The sequence below is a fragment of the Homo sapiens genome, chromosome 3 (genome assembly GCF_000001405.40).
Source record: "Homo sapiens chromosome 3, GRCh38.p14 Primary Assembly".
NCBI lineage: Eukaryota > Metazoa > Chordata > Mammalia > Primates > Hominidae > Homo > Homo sapiens.
The window spans coordinates 10477625-10499341 of NC_000003.12; the positions used below are offsets into that span (position 1 = coordinate 10477625).

Sequence of the window (21717 nt, forward strand, 5' to 3'; positions counted from 1 at the left end):
CATATAAGTGGAATCATAACAGTATTTGTCCCTTTATGGCTGGCTTATTTCACTTAGCATCTCAAGTTTCATCCATGTTGTAGCATGGCTCAGAGCTTCCTTCCTTTTTATGGCTGAGTAATATTGCATTGTATGAACAGACTACATTTGATTTATCAGTTGATCCATTCATGGACACTTCGATTGTTCCCTCATTTTAGTTATTCCAAAGAATGCTGTTATGAGCATGGGTGAACAAATATCTGAGTCCTTGCTTTCAATTTTTTGGGTATCTACCCAGTAGTGGAATTGCTGGATCGTGGAATAATTCTGTTTGATTTTTTTGAGGGACCACTATATGCTTTTCCACAGCAGCCGCACCATTTTACAGTCCTACTAGAATGCAAGAGTGTTCTAATTTCCCCACGTTCTGGCCAATACCTATTTTCTGTTTTTTGGTGATAGCCATCCTAATTGGTGTGAACTGGCATTTCCCTGTGATTTACATTTCTCTAATAACTAGTGGTGCTGAGCATTTTTCGCATGCTTATTGGCCATTTGTGTATCTTCTTTTCAGAAATGTCAAGTCAAGTCCTTTGCCCATCTTTGAACTGGGTTGTCTTTTTGTTGTTGAGTTGTAGGAGTTCTCGACATATTCTGGATATTAATCTTTATCATATATGTAATTTGAAGATATTTCTTCTCATTCCATGGGTTGTCTTTGTACTCTGTTGATAGTATCTTTTGATGCATTAAAGTTTTTAACTTTGATGAAGTCCAATTTATCTACTTTTTCTTTTGTTGTCTGTGCTTTTGGTGTCATAGCCAATAAATCATTGCTATATTCAGTGTCATGAAGCTTTCCCCTATGTCTTCTGTCTCCATTAAATTTTGTGTGTGGTGTGAGGTAGGGATTTAGACTCAACGTATCTGAAATTCAACCTCTAAGCTTTCCCATCCAACCTCCTGCTCCCCTGGGATTTGCTGTTGCCACCAAAGGCCTCATCTTCTCTCCAGGTGGTCAGCATAGAATCCAGCAGCCACCCCTGCCTCTTTCTTCTCCATCATCAAAGTCCTATTCATTTTCCTCCTTCCTACATTTCTTGAAACCCATAATTTCCCTGCACAGCCCATGTCCTTGTCCTAGTTCTTCTCATCTCTTGCCTAGGTGACTGCTGTGGCCTCTAACTGGCTGATGTGGTTTGGCTCTGTGTCCCCATCCAAATCTCATCTTGAATTGTAATTCCCATGTGTAACCTGGTGGGAGGTGACTGGATCATGGGGGTGGTTTTCTCCATGCTATTCTCATGATAGTGAGTGAGTTCTCACAAGATCTCATGGTTTAAAAGTGGCACTTCCCCCTTTGGGCGCTCTCTCTCTTCTGCCACCATGTAAGATGTGCCTTGCTTCCCCTTTGCCTTCCACCCTGATTGTAAGTTTCCTGAGGCCTCCCCAGCCAAGAGGAACTGTGAGTCAATTAAACCTCTTTTTAAAAATAAAATTACCCAGTTGCAGATAGTTCTTTATATCAGTGTGGAAACAGACTAATACACTGGCCTCTCTGCTGCCACTTGGAAAAGCAGTGCTGATCACATCACAGCATCCTCCTGCCCACTTTGCTTTTGGGATAAAGAAAACACTCCCACATGTGATCTTCAAAGCACTGGGTGGCCTGGCCTTGCTCCTTCAGCCCCCAAGAACCCCATTCTCTCATTTCCTCTGCTTGTCCCCCACCACATGGCCTTTGTCTGTTCTGTTCCTTCTGCCTAGAATGCTGTTCCCTCCCTATCATCACCTAGTAAACTCCTACTCTTCCTCCTGTTCTCAGCTTAATCCCAACTTCTCTGGGAGGCCTTCTCTGATTTACTTACGAAATCACACTCATCCTGGTTGTATTTTAAACATGTTTGTGTGACTGTTGGATTGTTTGATTTTAGATCACTGACTAGATAAGAACCCTTATCACCACCTCCTAGGCCCAGACTCTGCAATAATTTAAAAAATAACAGTTATAGCTATTATGCATATTATATATATACTTACTGTCTGTCTCCTTTCACTAAGGCCTGTGTCTACGTTTTCATCACTACTGTATTCCTAGGGCCTAGCAGTGTCTAGCACATAATAGATTATCTGCAAGTAGTTCAAGGAGGAAAGGAAGAGAGAGAGGGAGGAAAGGCTAATTTGCATTGAATAAAAAGCCTAATTCTGGCTGGGCTTGGTGGCTCATGCCTGTAATCTCAGCACTTTAGGAGGCCAAGGTGATTGCTTGAGCCCAGGAATTTGAGACCAGCCTGGGCAACATGACAAAATCTTGTCTCTCAATACAAAAATTACAAAAATTAGCCAGGCGTGGTGGTGCATGCCTGTAGTCCCAGCTACTCGGGAGGCTGAGATGGGAGGATTGCTTGAGCCCAAGGAGTTTCAGGCTATAGTGAGCCATGATTGTGCCATTGCACTCCAGAGCCTGGGTGACAGAGTGAGACCCTGCCTCACTAATTTGCTTCCCAAGGTGAAGGTTCTCAGATCCCTTGGAACTATAACGTTCTCCAGGGGGAAGGGTGTATTCACTTTCTATAAATTTTGGGTTTTCTGAGAACTTATTATGTAACAAATGCCCAGGCAGGCCCTCTCTCAGAATCAGTTTCCTCATCAGTAAAATGAGGCTAACAACACCGACCGACAGCGTTGCTGGATTAGAAAAGATGATGCATATGAAAGTGTCGAGCACCAAATAGGCGCTCCATAAATGACCTTGACCTTGATCCCAGCCACACTCCCAAATACAGCCAAACCCTCCTGGGGTATCTGGGCCTCAGTCTTCTCTCCATAAGCTGCCAGATCTGGGCAGGGACACATCCCCAGAATGGTACAGGGAGACCTGAGTGTCTCTTCTGAAGCACACAGGCTTTGAGAACTGCCCCGCGCCTATGTGGGACTAGTTCCTGCCTTGTTCCTGGACAGAACTCCCTGTCATATGCCAGTTCCTTCAGGCCCAAGACCCTGTCAAGCTTTTGTCAGCACCCGCAGCCCCAGCCTAGACCCCTAGCTTGGTCCAGACTTTCTCCTAGGTTCCTCCCAAGTCCATCTTGTTCTCGCCATTTCCCCTTCTGCCATCAGTGCCCGCAAGGCCTACTGCATTAGCCTCCTCGCCAAGCCCTTGAGGACCCCTCCCCACTACAACCCCTTCTGCACATGGCAACCAGAATGATCTTCCTAAAACATAAATTGGATCACATCATTGTCCTGCTTAAAACCTCCCAGTGGCTTCCAGTACATGCAGAGCTAAAGTCCTCAGTGGGGTCTGCAAGGCCAGGGCCAGAGGGCCCCGTCACCCCTCCCTCTCTTTATCTCACACCACTATCTGCTCCACCCGCACCAGATCTCAGTTCATCCCGCCTGCCACCTAGTCTCAGAGCAGACCCTCTCTTTTTGTTCAGTTACACACTGGTAGGAAGTCTGCCTGGGGCTACCAGGACATTCCTGAGAATGAAGATAACACAGAGGCAAGCAGAGCTGGGAAATGGAAAGACTTCATTTGAGCACTAGGATCCAGCCATACCTGAAGCCAACAATCCCAATTTTTTTCTGTTAGGTGAGCCAATGCATCTTTTTTGCTATAAGCTAACTTGAGTTGGTATTTATATCACTTGCTTCTAAAGGTAGTCCCAATGAATCCAACTGGCTGATCCTCCCTCACCCCACCCCCTCTCTTTTTCTGTTTCTGCGGCACACCAGCATACTCCACCTCAGGGCTTCTGCCTGCCCTGTTTCCTCTGCATGGAGTGCTCTTCCCCCAGATGTCTGCACGTTTCAGTCCCCCACCTCAGGCAGTGCCCGCTCAAATGGCACCTCCTCAGAGAGCCCTGCCCTGAACACCCCATCAAAAATAAGATGCCTTGTCATCACGCTCTTCCCGCTGACTCTGCTATATTCTATTTTATTTTATTATTTTATTTTATTTTTTTGAGACACAGTCTCGCTCCGTTACCTAGGCTAGAGTGCAATGGCACAATCTCTGCCCACTGCAACCTCCACCTCCTGGGTTCAAGTGATTCTCCTGCCTCAGCCTCCTGAGTAGCTGGGATTACAGGCGCCCGCCACCACGCCCAGCTAATTTTTGTATTTTCAGTAGAGATGGGGTTTCACCATGTTGGCCAGGCTAGTCTCAAACTCCTGACCTCAGGTGATCCTCCCGCCTTGGCCTCCCAAAGTGCTGGGATTACAGGTGTGAGCCACCATGTCCCACCTCTGCTATATTCTAAAAAATAACACTTACACCCACTATGATGTTATATATTTACTTATTGTCTATGTCCCTCCACTAAACTGTAAATCCATGAGGGCAGAGATTGTGTTAGGATGACCAACTGTCCTGGTTTGCCTCGGACTGAGGGGTGTCCTGGGATGTGGGACTTTCAGTGTTAAAATCAGGAATGTCCCAGACAAACCTGGACACGTTAGTCCCCCTAGACTGCTTTCATTTGCTGTAAAATCCCACTGCCCAGCTCAGTGTTGGTGCGCGGTAGGTGCTTAATGTCTAGTTGAGTGGATGAGTGAGCGCAGGCCCTGGGCTGCATTTACGTGCTCTGTCTCATGGCATCCTCATAGCCAGCCTGGGGGTGGGCTTTACTGTTGCCCCCATTTTACTGATAAGAAGCCTGAAGCTTCAGCTGCTTGCCAGGCCACATGGTGAGGGCAGCAGAGCACCAGCACTGGCACCCAGCTCTACCACACTCCAGAGGCCACACCCTAACTGCTCTCCACAGCACACCTCTGTCACTGTCTGCTCTACTCAGCCAACTGATCCTGGGCCCCTGCTGCCTCAATTGCCACCTTTGGGCCATCCCTCCATGCCTCACCTGGGTGTGTGAGCAATGGCCTAAGGCAGCCCTTTCCTGGCCAGGCTGATGGTGAGGAGAAGGGGAGAGAGGGCAGTGCCATGGCTAGGGTCAAGCTGCCCCAAGGCTGGAACCCTAGAGCATGGTGGCCAGCACAGGTGGTCTCCCTGACCTGTGTGTCCCTGGGGCACCTCTGGCTCAGGCCCCACCAGTGCCAGGTCTCCCCCCTGAGGCCTCGCCAGTCACAGCTGCCTTCTCAGCTGGGCCCCACCTGAGCCTTCTGACTGAGAGTGAGGAAGTCTGAATTCTGCTCACCCACAGGAGCCTAAACTGAAGAAGGATATATCCCTCTGCAGTGAAGGAAAGGCCTCCGTCTGCCATCCCAGGCCTGCCACCGCTCCCAGCCCTGTTGAACATGCCTGTGCATGAGGGCCCTGCCCATCCAGGTCAGAACAAGGGGATTTGCACTCGGGGAAGCAATGCTTCCTCCCACTGGACCCTGACAACCAACCCGTGCAGCAGGCACTGTATTTTCTACCCATTTCATGGATGAGGAAACTGAGGCCCAGAGAGGTGAAGTCGCTTACCCAACGTGACACAGCTCATAGGGGCAGGGTTAGGATTCCCAGAGGTGGATTCAGGTCCATCTCCCTCACTCACGTGTCATCTATCCTACCTTCTCTCCCTGGTGAGGGTAATGTCGGGGCCGACAAAACTGCTGCCATTTCTGGAGTCAGACCCTGCACACACATTGCTTCTTATTTCAGGCCAACTGGTAGGATAGGTGTGACAGTCCCCATTTTACAGATGACGAGGCTGTACAGCAGAGGAGTTAATGACTGGCGTAGGTCCCAGGGCAGGGAGGACTCCTAAGGGAACCTGTCTTATTTCGCCTTCCCTCCAATCCTTCCTTCCTGTCAACCTACCTGTGTCCCTACCTATCTAACAACTAATCCACATTTTTTGAATGGCAACAATGGGCAAGGCCCTGGCCTGGTCTGTGCCGACACCACCCCGAGCACTGAGAGCAGAAGGCAATCCTGGCTCCTGGCCCTGAGTGGCTGGAATCCCTTCCTGAGGGGCAGCCTGGATTTCCAAACCAGAATATCCTGAGTCTGATGAGCGATCTACCTGGAAGCCTCTTACTGGGGAATTCTCTGCGGGCTTAATTCTAGGATCTCAGCTGCTCTGTCCCCTGCCTGGCCACCAAGGAGATGTTTTTCAAAACAAAGTGAGGTGGGAGAAGGGCCACGGGAGGTTTTAATAATTCTATGGTAGGAAATTTCCATGGTGATGGAAAAGACCCACTGGCTGGCCTCCAAACGCCTTCCGGAAAAAACTTCCAAAAAGAAACTGTGGGACTGGCCCTCTCCAGTCCAGACAGATGCTGGAGCCACCCACGGAAGGACTTGGGGGCCGGTGCATTGGCGTCAGCCCCCGGCACAGGGCCGGGCACCCAGAGGCCCAGGGATCAAGGCGGTCCAGGGATAAAGGGGTCTCCCCTCGAGGGATTCATGGAAGAACAAAGAAAGATGCCCCCTGGGGAGTGAGTCACAAGCCCAGGCTCCATTTCTCTGCCACCTGCTTGCTTTGTGACCTTGAGCAACGACTAGGCCTCTCTGAGTCCATCTCTGCTGTGACAGGCAGCATTGGCGGGGTGCTGTCTAAGGTCTGAAGCATCGTGATGGTGCTGGCCCTGGCTTTGGGTTTCCCAAGGTCCCTGGGGATGAGTCCAGGAGGGGTGCAGAAAAACTGAGTTCCTGGAAACTCTGGAGGCATCTCCAGGGACCAGAGACTTCCAGGGCAGGAGAGAGTGACCTGAACACCTTGGGGGCAGATCCTAAAGAGCTCACTGAGGGGTGAACACACAGCCCCCTCCCTGCTGGCCACTGTCTGCCTCTCCCGTGGGCACAGGCTCCTCGGGTGAGATTCTAGAAGGGACAGGCTGAGGGGTCTGCATGCAGGTGAGGATCCTGGGGATGCCCTCAGTGTCTCCCCGTACCCCCACAGCCACCTCACTGCTGGCCGCGGGGGTCTCTGTGGCATTTTGAGCTCTCCATGACCCACCTGCTGCTGCCACCACCCCTCTGCCTGTATGAGTTCCTCACGGCCTGTCCCCAGGCTTCCCATGCTGCGTTTTCACTCCACTTGCCAGTGGGCTGGTCTCTGCACGTCCCAGCCCTGTCCCTGCCCTGCCTCACATCCTGCAGGGCCCCCATGGCCCTGGGGGTTGAGCCGTAACTCTGAGGCTGTAGCTGAATTGCGCAGTGCACCAGTACATTGCCTCCAGATGCAGAAAGAAATCTTACACACCAGAGGCCCATGATATAATACAACCTCAACCATCAGCCAGGGAAGAATCCCCTGAAGGAGAAGCAATGAGTCTGTGTCCTACTTAGTTCTGCATCTGGGTACCAGCTCACGTCTGCGCAGATTCCTTCACAGTGCTGAGCCTCAGTTTCCTCAGCTGTGAAATGGGCTGAAGCTGTTTCCTTTGCACTGGAAAAGTGAGAATAAGAAGGCCCTGGGCACAGTGCCTGGCACTGACAGGCCTTAAGCTGACCTGACGCAGACCCCCTCTGTGAAAGGGGCTGGTTGAGGGCTCAGTCTGGGTCTTGTGTGCCTTCAGGAAGGGGTGTGAGAGGAGGGAGACAGAGGCAAGGGGCAGGGGACAAGAGGTGAGGGGGTCTTCAGGAGGCCAGTAGCCAAAGTCATCACCACCACCAGAAGAGTGGCACCTGCTTTTTAAAATCAGCACTTACTATGTGCTAGGCACCAAGGGTGCCTTCCTTCTGTGGTTTTCTCATTGAAGTCCTGTCGGGAAGGTTTATTATCCCTATTTTACAGCTGTGGAAACTGAGGCTCAGAGAGGTGAGGTTGCCGAGCTGGTGGGTGACAGGGCTGGGAGCTTTGCCCCTGAGCTCTGTGCTGGGCGAGGGCACAGGAAGGAACAAAGGGTGAGCAGAGGGATTGGAAAAGGAGGTGGGGGATTGCGGGAGCTCAGGGCAAGCCAGGGCACACCCAGGCACAGCCTCCTCTCGCCTTGGCAGTCCCGCAGCAGGCTCCTCTCCTGCGCCCGCTCCCTCCGCTTCTCCCTGCCTCCGTATGGAGCTTTCTAAAGCAGGCCCCTGTGAATCAGAGCAAAGACACCAAATTTACTCTGCTCACTGCCAGATTTTCTCCAGAGAAGGGGGTGGTGACGCGGGAGTGGAGTGGGGAGAGAGCCTGTCCATCTGCCTACTCACCTCTGCAGAGAATCGCAAAGCCTGGGGTCTGAGGTCTGGATGTTTTGTGCGGTGGGGGCTTCCTGGCTCTGGCTCAGGCCTGCCTTCCCGGCTCAGGTTGGGGCTTCCTGGCTCTGGCTCAGGGCTGTCCCTGAGTAAAGACTGTGCTCTTGGGAGTCAGGAAGGGTTGCTCTGGGAGGGTGCTGTGTGCCAGAACCCTGTGAGATCCATGCTCTGAGCACCCACCCCACAATGGCCCTGAGCGGATGTGGGGGCCAGGGCATCATGAAACTCAGCCAGCGCCATTGCGACATGGGGCCGAGGGGTGGTAAGTGAGGACAGGAGGCCACAAGTGGGCATGGAGGCACCCAAGTCAGGTGCCGGGACTCAGGCATCTCCCCTCAGCCAGTGGCCAGGTCAGCATGCTTCCATCGCACTCATACAACATCATTCTGCTGCCCAGGAGGCTTTGTGGGTGCCCGCTCATCGAGCATAAGATTTGGTCAAACTAACCTTGCTTTGCCACCCACTAGCTGAGCGACTCAGTTTCTCTGTCTGTAGAATGGGGATTTCACCATCAAGTGCCTAGAACTGTTGCAGGGATTTAATGAGATGACAATCTGTTTTTCAAACAGCAGCCAGGTGTGTGTGCGTGCGTGTGTGTGTGTGTGTGTGTGTGTGTGTGTGTGTGTCTCAGCCCTGCATAAGATGCTCCTATGTCAGGATCAGCCCCAAATTCCACAGGGTGATCTACAAAGCACCAAAAGATCAGGCCCCTCTCTACTTCTTCCACATCATCTACCTCTCTCCCCTTCACACATTTTGCTGCAGTCACAACAGCTGGAGTCTTTAAACGTGCCCAGTATGTTCTCACCTCAGGATCTTCGCACTGGCTGACTCCTTTGCTGGGACTGCTCTTCCCCAGATGGTGGCATCTTGAACATCACCTACTAGCAAGGTCCTCCCTGACCACGCTAGTGGCAGGGAGCCCCTTCGATTCTCACTAATTTTCTTTATAATAATCACCCCAGCTGGAATTATTGTTATGATGATGATGGTGATGATGATGATGATAGAGTCTCACTCTGTCGCCCAGGCTGGAGTGCAGTGGCATGATCTTGGCTCACTGTGACCTCCACCTCCTGGGTTCAAGCAATTCTCCTGCCTCAGCCTCCTGAGTAGCTGGGACTACAGGTGCGAGCCACCACACCCAGCTAATTTTTGTATTTTTAGTAGAGATGGGGTTTCATCTCTACTAAATGTAGGCCAGGCTGGTCTCGAACTCCTGACCTCAAGTGATCTGCCTGCCTTGGCCTCCCAAAGTGCTGGGATTACAGGCGTGAGCCATTGCGCCCAGCCCCAGCCAGAATTATTAATCTTAGTTATTAATGAGAACTCCTCTGTCTTGTTTACCACTATGTACCCACTGCCTCAAATGTACCCAGCATGTAGCAAGCATTCAAGAAATGTTTGCTACAGGAACAAATAATATGTACTGAGCCTGAAACATGCTGGTCCCTTCCTTTCCTTTACACATTCCTAGCACAGCCTCTCCCCACAAGCATGTGTGTGCGCACACACACACAGACATGCACATACAGAGAGACACACACACACAGACAAACACAGATATACACCCCAAAACAAATCCCCAGATGAGACCAAAGAACAAAAACCCCAAACAAGAAAGCCCTGTGCTAGAAGGAGGATGCTAGGGGTTACCAGGGTCATGAGTCCAGTTGTCAGGTCCTGCCTGGCTTACCTTAGGATCTCCACTGAGGCTGTGGGAAGTCAAGGTCACTGGCAAGGGCAGAGAGCAACTCATCAATTCTCAGCATGAAGCCAGTGGGCCACAAAGGCCTGTGAGTCTTTAGTTCCACAGCCCTGATGGGGGTTGAAGAATGTGTCCTACAGGCAGGGACTGTGTCTGGTTTATTCACATCATGTCCCCAGTGCCCTCAGCTCAGAGTAAGTACTCAATGAAAACTTGCGAATGAATAAATGAATGAGGATGAGGGGTTAGACAGCGGGAAAGGAAACAGAGAGAATTGGCCGTTAATGTTCATGGGAATCACGAGCTTGGGCCATGGTGCCAGGCACCACTGAAAGCCACTATCTGAAAGTGCCTCCAACAGTACTCGCATCCTGTCATGTCCCTGTACAATAACCTGCAATGGCTCCCACTGCCTCTGAGTAAAATTTTCTACTTATTCTGGCAATCGAAGTCCACTTGTTTTCTTCTCTCTCTGCCTCACTATCTTTTTGCTTCTACCCATTCATCCATTCACCCATATACATATCTTCCTGCCCATCCATCCACTTATTCTTCTGTCCCTCCATCCTTTTGTCCACCCATCTACTCACTCATTCATCCATCTCTCTCTCCACTCCTCCACCAAACCATCCACCTATCCATCTATCCATCCATCCAGCCATCCATCCATCCATCCACCCATCCATCCATCCATCCTCCCACCCACCCACCTATCCATGCATCCATCCATCTACCCACCCATCTATCCATCCACCCATCTATCCATCCATCCATCCATCCACTCATCCACCTATCCATCCATCCATCCATCCATCCATCCATCCATCCATCCATGCATGCATCCATCCACCCACCCACCTATCTATTCATTCACTCACAAATCCATCCATCCATCCATCCATCCATTCACTCACCCACAAATCGATCCATCCATCCACCCATCCATCCATCCATGTGCCCATCCACCCACCCATTCATCTCTTCACCCACCTATCCATCCATCCATCCACCACCCTACAAATTCCTTCCTTCCTTCCTTCCTTCCTTCCTTCCTTCCTTCCTTCGTTCCTTCCTTCCTTCCTTCCTTCTTTCCTTCCTTCCTTCCTTTCCTTCCTTCCTTCCGTGGTTCAATATTTACTGTGTGCTTACCAGGTTCTACCAGGTTCTAGACAATGCGCTAGGTTCTGGGGTCAACCCAACTCTTCAATTCTAAAATAAAAATTATCTCATTAAATACCTCCTTGCAAATCCTGTCTGCTCTACCTCTGAAGCTATCCTGAATGTGACCCTCTTTCTCCACCTCCAGTCTCCACCCTGGTCCCAGCCACCATCCTCTCTCACCACACTCATTGCAGTAGCCTCCTTCCTGCTCTCCTTCCTCTCACCTCACCCCCCACAGTCTGTTTTCCACACACAGTCAGACAAAAATCAAGTCCCTCTTCTGCTCACAAGGCTCCTGTTGCTCCTGTCATTCTTCGAGGAAAAGCCAGGGTCCCTGTGATGGCCCACGAGACCCTGCGTGATCCTGGCCCCCAACTTGTCAGCTCTCTGAATTCATCTCCTACCCCTGCCTCCTCACTTTCCTCCACCCCACTTCTCCCTTGCTGTTTCTCCAACTCACTGAGCATGTCCCCATGTCAGGGCCTTTGCACTGGCCATTCCTTAGTCTGAAACCCTCGCCCCAAACAGCCATGAGGCTCCCTCAGGTCTCTGCTGAAAGGCCACCTTCTTAGGAAAGTCTTCCCTGACCTGATTCAAAACAACCCTCTTCATCTCCCTTCATCTGCTTTATTTTTCTCCTTGACGATCCACTCATTTATGTCTTTGTTTATGGTCTCTCTCCACCTGCTCGAATGCAAGCTCCACAGGGCAGTGAACAGATCTGTTGTGTTCAGTGTGGTATCCCCACTGCCTGGCACACAGTAGGCCCCCAGACAGCGTTTGCTAAATGAGTGAAAGCTCCCCGCCCCTTTAGGTAAGGCTGGTTGCTTTCATTCTATGGAGGACTTGCATATGCCTTTTGCCAGTGGTTCCCAAATGTGTCTGTTCATAACCCTCCTGGCCTCTCATTAAATGGATTTGCAGGCCCTTTCCCAGGATGGGATTCATGGTTTTTTCTGACTACTTCCCTTCTCACCATCTCTGTCCCTTTCTGAATGCCACCAGCTGGGACTCACTGCCTGCTGTGACTCACCATGCCTCCCCTCTCCCTGCCTCCTATCAGTCCCAAAGCCCTGTCAGCCCATCCCATGCCCTGCTCTCCTGGGAACCTGCCTTCAACTCAGCCTCTGCCCTACCCCAGCTGCACCGTGAGCCTCCAGCCTCTAGCCTCCAGCCTCATCCCTCCAACCCATTATCCTCACTAGGATCACTGTCCTTGCAGGATGCTCTTAAAGGGCCAATCTGGCCACATCACTCCTCAACTTACAACCATTTAGCCTGCAGCCCTGGGCTTAGCCGGGCCACCTCTCCTGCCAAGCGCTGGCCACCCCGGCCTGGTGCCTTCTGCCCTGCACTACTGGTGGTGGCCTCAGTGCCTGCTCAAGTGGTGCCTTTGCCTAGAGCACCCCTCCCTGGTCCCCTGTTTTTCCAGCTGGCTGGCTGTTAGCTAGCCTTCCACTTGCCCTCGTGGGGCCCTCTTGAGGTTGCCCCCTGACAGCCCCGACAACAGGCCAGGGCTTCCCCTGGGCTCCTGCATCCCCCTGGCTTCCTCCAGCCTGGCTGTTATTACACTGACTTACAATTACTGGTTTCTCTGCTAGACCCCATGGTCTGAGTCCTAGTGCCCTTGACCTCACGGTCAAACCAGCTGGCTCAGTGCCCATGGACAGGTCACTGTGTATCAATGACCCTCAATTTCCTCATCTGTAAAATGGGAATAATAACTGCTAGAGGGATATTGTAATCAAATAAGTCAAGCAAAACACTTGGAACAATACATGTCAGTCCACGGCATTCTTTTTTTTTTTTTTTTTCTCTGAGATGGAGTCTCTCTCTGTCGCACAGGCTGGAGAGCAGTGATGAAATCTCGGCTCACTGCAACCTCCTCCTGTGTTTAAGCAATTCCTGTATCTCAGCCTCCTGAGTAGCTGGGACTACAGGTGCACGCCACCATGCCTGGCTAATTTTTGTGTTTTTAGTAGAGTTGGCCAGGTTGATCAGGCCTGGCTGGTCTCGAGCTCCTGGCCTCAAGTGATCTGCCCACCTCAGCATCCCAAAGTGCTGGGATTACAGGTGTGAGCCACCGCGCCCAGCAATCCACAGCATTCTTATCCAGAAAATCCTACAGACTGGGAGCTCAGGAGCTGCACCCAGTAGGTGCATGTAGCTGACCTGGGCCTCCTGCAACTGGCAGGGGTGGAGCCAGGGGGACTGGAAGATCACTTTGGCCTCTCTGTGACTTTCTCCTTAGTAAGAAGCCTCTATCTGCTCCTGTTGATATTTAAAAATATCTGTTATTTGATTTGGGGGTGAAGGAAGCAGCTTTTCAGCTTTGTGTTGTTTGCTATGCTGTTTTCTCTTCTAACCTTTGAGCCTGTTTTCTGACTTTGCCTTCTGCTCTTGTTTTTGTGTGGCTGTTTTTAGCTGACCTTTTGCATCTGACCTTTTAATCTGAGCTCAGAGTCCCTGCCCTTGCTCTGGGTCTCAGGGGTGCTTGGTTGGGGAGGGGGCAACAATGCATCCTACTGTGGCACACCTTCCACAGGGAAGCTCTGACTCCGGGCATTCACCTGGAGCCCGCCTGTGTTGGGCACTGCACATGTGCTGGCTCCTTCATTCCATTTTTTTTTTTTTTTTTTGAGACGGTGTTTCACTCTTGTCACCCAGGCTGGAGTGTAGTGGCACCATCTTGGCCCACTGCAACCTCTGCCTCCCAGGTTCAAGCAGTTCTCCTGCCTCAGCCTCCCGAGTAGCTTGGATTACAGGTGCATACCACCATGCCCGGCTAATTTTTGCATTTTTAGTAGAGACGGGGTTTCACCATATTGGCCAGGCTGGTATGGAATTCCTGACCCCAAGTGATCTGCCCACCTTGGCCTCCCAATGTGCTGGGATTACAGGCTTGAGCCAATGCGCCTGGCCTGGCTCTTTCACTCCTTAATGGGGCCCATAGCGGGTATCCTACAGCTGGCAAACAGTAGGGCTGGCAGCAACAAGGTCCTTGTCATCTACACGGGCTTCTGCCACTTCTCATTCCATGACTGCTGAGCCACCAGGATGGCCATGGTACATTGCTAAGTGACAAAATAAAGCTGTGGGCTACACATAAAATGATACCATTAAAAAAAGAAATGAACCCCCTCCAAACTTGTATCTGCCAGTATATGAAAGAACAAACAAGAGAAAGAAACAAGTTACCAGATTTCCTCAGATTTAAGTCCAATGGTAAGTCGAGCCATGATTTTATGTACCATGAAGAAAGAAAAAAGGACTTCCAATAAAACTATGACGTGCTGTCAACTGCAAGACATATCCTGACTTCAGAGATGTTAAAATGCGGGGAAAAAAGTGCATCCCAGAATTGACAAAATAGGGTATCGACAGTGTGGTTACATCAGGTAAATGTGGGATGTGAGGAGAGGAAAATTATTCATTTTGCCATAGATCCTTCTGTATCATTCCATTTGTTGCGACAAGCATGCATTATTTTTGTAATTCAAATGACTGTAGTTTAAAAAAGGAAAATAGGGTTTTCCAAGCTGTTGCTGCCTGGTTTCTTTTCTGGCCACCCTGTGGGTTGGGGACACAGTAATTGCTGGCTTCTCCGGGGTGCTCTGCTGGGGGAGAAGCTGGGGGCTTTTCGGGGGGTGGGGCAGGTAAGCACCAGGCAAGAAGCACCAGTCTCTTTCCAGAGCTTGGCCTGCATGGGTCTAATCAGCAGAAATTTCCCTTTATTAAGGCCTGGCCCCCAAACCCCTCATTAAGGGCTCTTTAAGCTGGAAAGTACACAGTGGAGCCACAAACAATGCGACAAAGCCGAAATTTCCAAAGAACGGGACAGCTGAGTGCTCTTCCTCCCTTGGAGACTCTTTCTCTGAGCCCCACCTCCAATCTAGAGCCTTGCCCTCTTTCTCTGGCCTCCCTCCATGGCTGCTACCTGATGTCAGACTTGTTCCAGATGAGCTTCTGTCTGCACTGGCCCTCTCCCCAGCTAGAATGGATGCCACGGGAGACTGTGAATTGCAGCTGCCTCATTTGCGACTGCACCCCCTTTGCCCATGCTCTCCCTCTCACCCCGCTTCCTTCTCCCTCTGGGGTGTCCAGAGAGACTCAGGAAAGGCAGGTGGATCAAGGCGGGGGTTTCTAGGCAACCTCTCCACTGTCATTTCTCTCCTGTCTTGCAGATACCGGGTCAAGTGTGATGGTGAGGGAGGATACTGGTGTCCCTTTCACAGCTGCGCAAAAGAGAGCAGATGGAACTTGAACTTGGCCGAGGCTGCCACCCAGGATGGCTTTCAAAGGACATTTTCTAGGATGGCGCCTCCTCCTCTGCTCCCACTACCTCCCTCGAGAGAAGGGCTGTTCTGGGTTTATTCTTGCCTCCCCTGTACCACCTCTCCATATCTGGCCAATTCATTTGTTCATTCATTCATTCATTCATTCATTCCACACAAATCTGCTGAGCACCTCCCCTGTCCTAGGCCCTTGAATACAGAAGTGAATGAGACAGATATGCTTCCTGCCCTCAAGCTACTGATTGTCTAGGGAAGACAGACAGACAACAAACAAGGGAATAAATACAGAAAATAATGTCAAGGGTGGTACATGCTATTCGAAAACAAGTGCCATGACAGGGAATATAGGTGAGGGGGTGGGGGAGCTCTTTTAAATAGATCAGGGATGGCCTTAATGAGGAATTACCACTCAGCTTGATGAGAAGGAATCTATGAAATAAACCGAAGGGGAAAGTGTAGTCTAGATGGGGAAATAGCATGTGCAAAGGCCCTGAGACAGGAAAGAGGCTGATGAGTTTGAGGTACAGAAAGAAGGGCAGTAAACGAGAGGAAAGCCAGGAGAGGGGTGGGGAATGAGGGTCAGACCCAGAAGGGCTTACAGGCTGCAGAAAGGAGTCTCGACTTGTTCCTGTACATCAAGGGGAGGACTGTGGAGTTTCAAGCAGGAACACTACTATCTGATATATATTCTTAAAAAAGATTCCTCTGGCCACGCAGGAAGAACAGACGATTGAAAGGGCAAGAGAGGATCTGGGGGACCAGTAGGGAAGGCCCCTCCCTTCATCTATTCTACATGCATGCACTCAACAGTGTTCTAATGAAATCACTGAAAACAAACACAAACACAAAAACAAACAAAACACACTGGCTGGAGATCATGACTCCAGAGGCCCAGAGTGTGTTGCCCAGGAGCTTACAACAAAGAGAGGGGCAGGAAGGCCCTCAGAAGGGGGAGACCCTTAGGTGGGGGTTGAAAGTCAGGCAAAGTCTCAGAGGTGGGGAAAAGGGTCAGTGTGAACAGGGCCTGTGCTCCAGTTCATATCACATGGCCACATTTCTAACTGACCTGACAAAGGAAAAGCGGCATGAAGGTGAAGTGTGGGGCTGGGAAGGTAGGGTGGGGACAGGCACTCCATCACAAATGCACTGGACACAGACCGAGGAGTCTAGGCTTTATCCACTTGGCAACGGGGAGCACTGAAGACTTTGACCAGAGTGACAGGCCTGGTGGACATTCTGAGAAGTTTCTCCTGGTGGCCATGGGGGGTCTATGGGGAAGGCTAGGGTGAGATTAAGGGAGAGATGGTGAAAGGTGCTCCCTCCCTACTCTGATCCCACGACTGCTGCTACCACTGATAGCTGATTTTTTCATAGAGATTCCCTTGCATCAGGCATGGTTCTAGGCTCCTTACATGTAACTCATTTAATCTGCACTAGAATCCCATGAGGTTGGTACTAGTATTTTTGCCCATTTTACAGACGAGGAGACTGAGGCACAGGAAGTTAAGTCATTTGCTCAAGGTCACATAGCTCGGAAGTGTTGGGGAATCATGCCCAGGCCCTCAAGCTCCAGGGGCTGCTCTTAACCACTGCCCTGTGCCTTCTCCTCCAGTTAAGATGCCACAATTCTGCATCCTGGGATTTAATCTCCTTGGCAGAAGAAAACTCTCTTTGGGAAGTGCCCTTGGCTGCCCTCTGAGGCCTCAAGAACACCACAACACACTGCTCAAAGGACACTAACTGACCAGCACCCAATCATGTTCTATTGCTAACCTGCTGTGTGACTGGAGACAAGTCCCTGGACCTCTCTGAGAATCTGTGCAGTGTAATAAGAATGTCTCCTTTACAGAGTGGCCTTCAGCCCCACATGCTGCTACCTGGGGTGATAATCACCACCCTCGGCATTGGGTGGGGGCTACGTACATATCTCGAATCATCTCCACAATGGCTATGGTCATTTCCCCCCAAGACAGAGGTCAAAACCCTGAGGCTCAGAAAGGAACAGTAACTCACTGAGGGGGATACAGCTTGTCAGTGGCAAAGTTGGAATTTGAACCACAGTTTCCTCAATAGCAGCTGGCAGGTGCTTAAGACATGTAAACCACCTCTTCCCCAAATGTGGAGCCAGTGTGGCTCCAAACCTTCAAGAGTCACCTGCTGTCTTGTAGGGAGGCAGGATAAAGACCAAGGACATGGTCAATTCCTGGGGGCCAGGCCTGTTGCTGCTGAAGAGTCAGTCTCAAGGACACCCTGAACTTGTCCCCGTGGGCAGTTGCATTGGGACATGGGCCAGGTATGAATCACCCTATTCCCAGTTTGACGTCTGGCCCAAGCCACGCCTTTTTCCTGGAGGGTTGGGGGAGGGGCTAATACCATGGACAGGGTGCTGGGCTTTGGACTCTACTCTGCAACCTTGGTCAATTCCTCTCCGGCCTCAGTCTCCTCTTAGGTCCAATGCAAAGGGGCAGGAGCAGAGGGGCTATTCAAGAGGCCTTGGACAAGCCATCCCACATCTCTGAGACCATGTTGCTCATCTGTAAATGGATCCAGTCGCAGTGGTGAGAGTAAAGGAAACTTTTGCACACGGAGCCCCTAGCATCGAAATTGCTCGCTAAACGAGAGCTGTCTTGGTTATGACAGGTTACCCGGGGGCTGTAGTGAAGCCCACTGTAGACGTTCCCAGGGCCAGGGAAGCTGATGTCTCCACTCAGCTCAGAATTTCCTTCCCCTGAGGTCATGGGGCAGACTCAGGCCTCTGAGAGGGCAGAGAAGTGCCTAGAAACAGCCCTGGGTCCCAGTGCCAGGTCTCGCTTAATTTTATTGCTACTCCCTGAGTGCAGGAGTGGCCCAGGCCACATACTCTTCACCACACTGACCCCATTTTGTAGATAAGGAAACTGAGGCTCTGGAAGCTCTAAATACTGTGGTGGTGAGGCTGAGTCTTGGTCCTGGAAGTTATTCATGGCCTAGCCCCCAGGCAGGGCACCCGCAGTCGTATACCACCTTCTACCTGGGGCTGCCTCCGCCTCCCAGCAGGAGTTGTTTCTGGAGCTGATTCATCTCTGAGCTCAGCAAGGAGCCCGACAAACAGCCTGGTCCACACCAAATACTTAGCTAATACTGGTTTTATTGATTTGCATTCTATGCCCTCTTCAGGATGCTCTGAGCTCAGAAATCTGAAATTGGCTGGGGGTGGGATGGGGAGAAGGGCTTCATTTTAATCTGAAGTGAGTCATGTAAGTTGATAAATTTAGAAGTGGCCTAAAGAGCTCTTAATCTGCTGCCTTCAGATAGTTGCTAGGAAGAGACTGGCACCCAGCAACCTTTGCATCCCAAATCCACATAACAGAGTGGACACTGTTGGTGCCCACCCTAGTCCTCCTTACCGGTCTGCAGCTTCCACACCCCAGCTGCTGGGAGCTAGAGCTCCCGGCTGCCCCTTCTTTGCAGGCTTGCCCTGGGAAGAACAGGAGCTCCTGCCCGGGCAATTGCACACAGCATCCCACTCAGAAGGCAGCCGTGGCCAATAACTATCTGATATGGGGTATGAAAGGCCAGCTTTTTTGCTTCAAGGCAGAGCCAAACCTGGGGCGCAGTTCATGCCCCACATCCCCCAAGGGATCAGCTGAGGCCACACGCTTGTTTATCTCTTTCTCTCCCTACCTTGTTTCCTTTCAGCCCCTTTCTCCTGAGCGCTGTCTCATGCTTGCTCCTAGTGAGTCCAACCCAAGATCCACACACATTGCACTCCACACGCAGACACTAGCTCCACCCCTCCAACCCCGCCCCTTCCCCCGTGACCTGGACATCAGCAATGTCCAGGCAGCTTCGAATTTTAGACATTTAAAGTCTCAGGGGGCCCATCTGGCTCCAAAAGGCTTGTTTCAAAGATGGGAAACTGATGCTCAGAAAGAGACTGTGACTTGTCCAAGGTCACTTGAAGTGCTTGTCATGGCTGGCTGCACCCAGGTCTTTGTCCTCCCCCCAACTCCAATCCACTTTGTGGCCCTAGCCTGTCTGGTGGCTGGACCAACGGGCCAGCCACGGCTTTTGCTGTCTCCAGGAGGGAATTTTGCTGTGTCAACTCTGCAGAAGCCACTTGGAGGCCAGGAGAGTGCTGGCTGGTGGGCTTGCAGGATGGTTGGCAGGCTCTGCTGACCTTGGGCAGCTGTGGGCAGGGTGGGCATCCCAGTTAGGCCCCTTCCACTGTTTGTGGTGGTCAGGCAGAAAATTGAGGGAAGACAGAAACGACTTCTAATGAGGGCCCTAATTACCCTGTGGATCCCTGAAGCACTGGTGATGTATCTGCTGGTGGCTTCTTCTAGAAACCCTCCTCTCCATGGCAAGAACTGCTTTCTCCATAAGAGAAAGAGTCCTGAACCAACATGGGCAAAGAGGCAGCATTGGGCTGGTGCCTGGACATTGGGCTGTGGTTCCAGTCTGCTGGGAGCTGGCTGTGTGATCCTGGGCAAACCAGCATGCCTCTTGGCCCTTGGTTTTCTCAGCTATAAAGCAAGTGCAGCCTCAACTGCTATTATTTTATTGAGCCTAGTGTTTATTTTAGTATCATTTATTGAACTAGAAGAGACTCATTAAAGTTCATCAAATAATAATTGCTTACACTTCTGCCAAGGGCTGTCCTAAGCACTTTAATTTTACTTAATCCTCACAACAATCCTATGAATTGGACACTTTTGTTATCCCCATTTTACAGATGGTGGGACTAAGGCACAGAGAAATTAAGAAACTTGTGCTGGGTCACACAGCATGGAAATGGTGGAGCAGGAATTAGAATCCCAGAGTCTATGCTTTAAATTCCTCCTTGTACTACGGTCTTTGCTGTTTGTTTTGCACGGCCATTTATTAAGCACCTACTGCATATGGGGACTCTGCTGGTCACGTAATACACACAAAAGTTTGCCGACTTCTCACAGCTGCTCCGGCAAGCAGGTGTTCTTTTGCTGATTGTTTCAGAGTGGACACAAAGGACCCAGTGAGGGACTCACCGCAACTGAGCTGGGGAGGCAGGTGGCAATCCTGGCTTCTTCCCACCAGCCTGGTGGCTCTGTTCTGAGCCCCTTATAAAACTGATCTTATTTATCATATTTTCTTGACTCTAACCTGTATCACTACTTTACGTATATTTAAGAAATAAAAGGCATGGCTGGTTCCACTGTGGTGTAACACCAGTTGTCAGGCACAACCTGGCTTCAGAAATGTCAAAATGTATATCTTGGAATCCGCACAGTTCAGTCTCCGACACAACGGCCTGATGAGGCAGGCAGTGTTGTCATCTCCATTTGACAGTGGAGGGAACGGAGGCTTGGAGATTAAGGACATGCAGCTGGTCAGCGGCCAGGCATTGGATGTGACCCCAAGCAGCCTGGGCCCAGATGTTGTCCTCAACTACTGCGCTACATCAACGCTAAGTCAGGCCCACGTAGGATGGCGTGCCCTGCCCATGGGCACAGATCAAAAAACTTCAGAAGGATCAGTGAGCTGGAGGCCAGCACCCTCTGCTCCGGATGAGCCTGGGGGCCTCACTCAGCGTGGATGCCTCAGGCATGCAGGAGGCACCCCAAATGGCTGCCACAGCATTCCCCGCCCACTGCCTCCACAGCTCCCTTGGGCCTGCAAGGCAGGTGTTTGACAGAGCTGGGCTAGAATGAGTTCATCCAGATGACGCCCCCATGGCTCCCACAAAATGGTCCCGGGGCAGCCAGACATGGCCCGGTAGAGTAGCCCAGCCGGCACAGGAAAGGCACCACTTTATAGGAAACTGCCTTCAGAGGCAGCACAGAAGCTTGCAGAGACCTGCTTTCTTCCTTCAAAGCTACATGGTGCTTGGACCCCAAACGGTGTCATCCATTCACTGCTTCTCCCATAGGCTCCACCAATCCCATATGCTCCACTATGGCACGACTGCTCCCAATTTTCCCAAATCAAATCCACCCTCCTTGGACTAGGATGTGCCCCTTCTGGGGACATCTTTAAGATGCCCACAAGCAGGGCAGAAGCTCAACATATTTCGAATGCCTGGCATGATGAGGGTTCCATTTGAGACATTACCTACCCATCATCTCGTGGCACAATCTTGTGAGGCAGGTTTTTCCCACTCCACTTTGCATATCAGGATGTCAAGCTCAGAGAAGCAAAGCTACCTGCCCAAGGTCACACAGTAGTAAACACTGGCATTAGGATTTATACTCAAATCTTTCTGATGCCACAAAGGAGGCCACTTTCCATCAATTTCTGGCGAGGCCCTGAGCCAAGTGCTTCCTTTGCATTACTTCACCAAATCCTCATACAACAAATAATAGCATCATCATAATACTACCACTATCCCATCTTACAGGCAAGAAAACATCCGCTGAGCCTCTACCTGGACCACACCCGGGCCAAGCCCTGTACTTGGATCCTGTTTGCCTCACGTGACAACCGGG

General features: G+C 51.0%; 1 protein-coding gene across 16 annotated transcripts in view, besides 1 other annotated feature; it reads right to left on the bottom strand.

The window, feature by feature from the left end:
* ATP2B2 (ATPase plasma membrane Ca2+ transporting 2) overlaps positions 1-21717 on the bottom strand; it is a 384094-nt gene that overhangs the window by 153602 nt on the left and 208775 nt on the right. The window lies entirely within an intron of this gene.
* Positions 4587-5088: an enhancer, noted in NCBI's record as "H3K27ac hESC enhancer chr3:10523895-10524396 (GRCh37/hg19 assembly coordinates)". NCBI's record gives its function as "activates a minimal SCP1, AML or CMV promoter by ChIP-STARR-seq in naive H9 embryonic stem cells {active_cell/tissue: H9 hESC(naive)}" and the evidence as "EXISTENCE:reporter gene assay evidence [ECO:0000049][PMID:30033119]".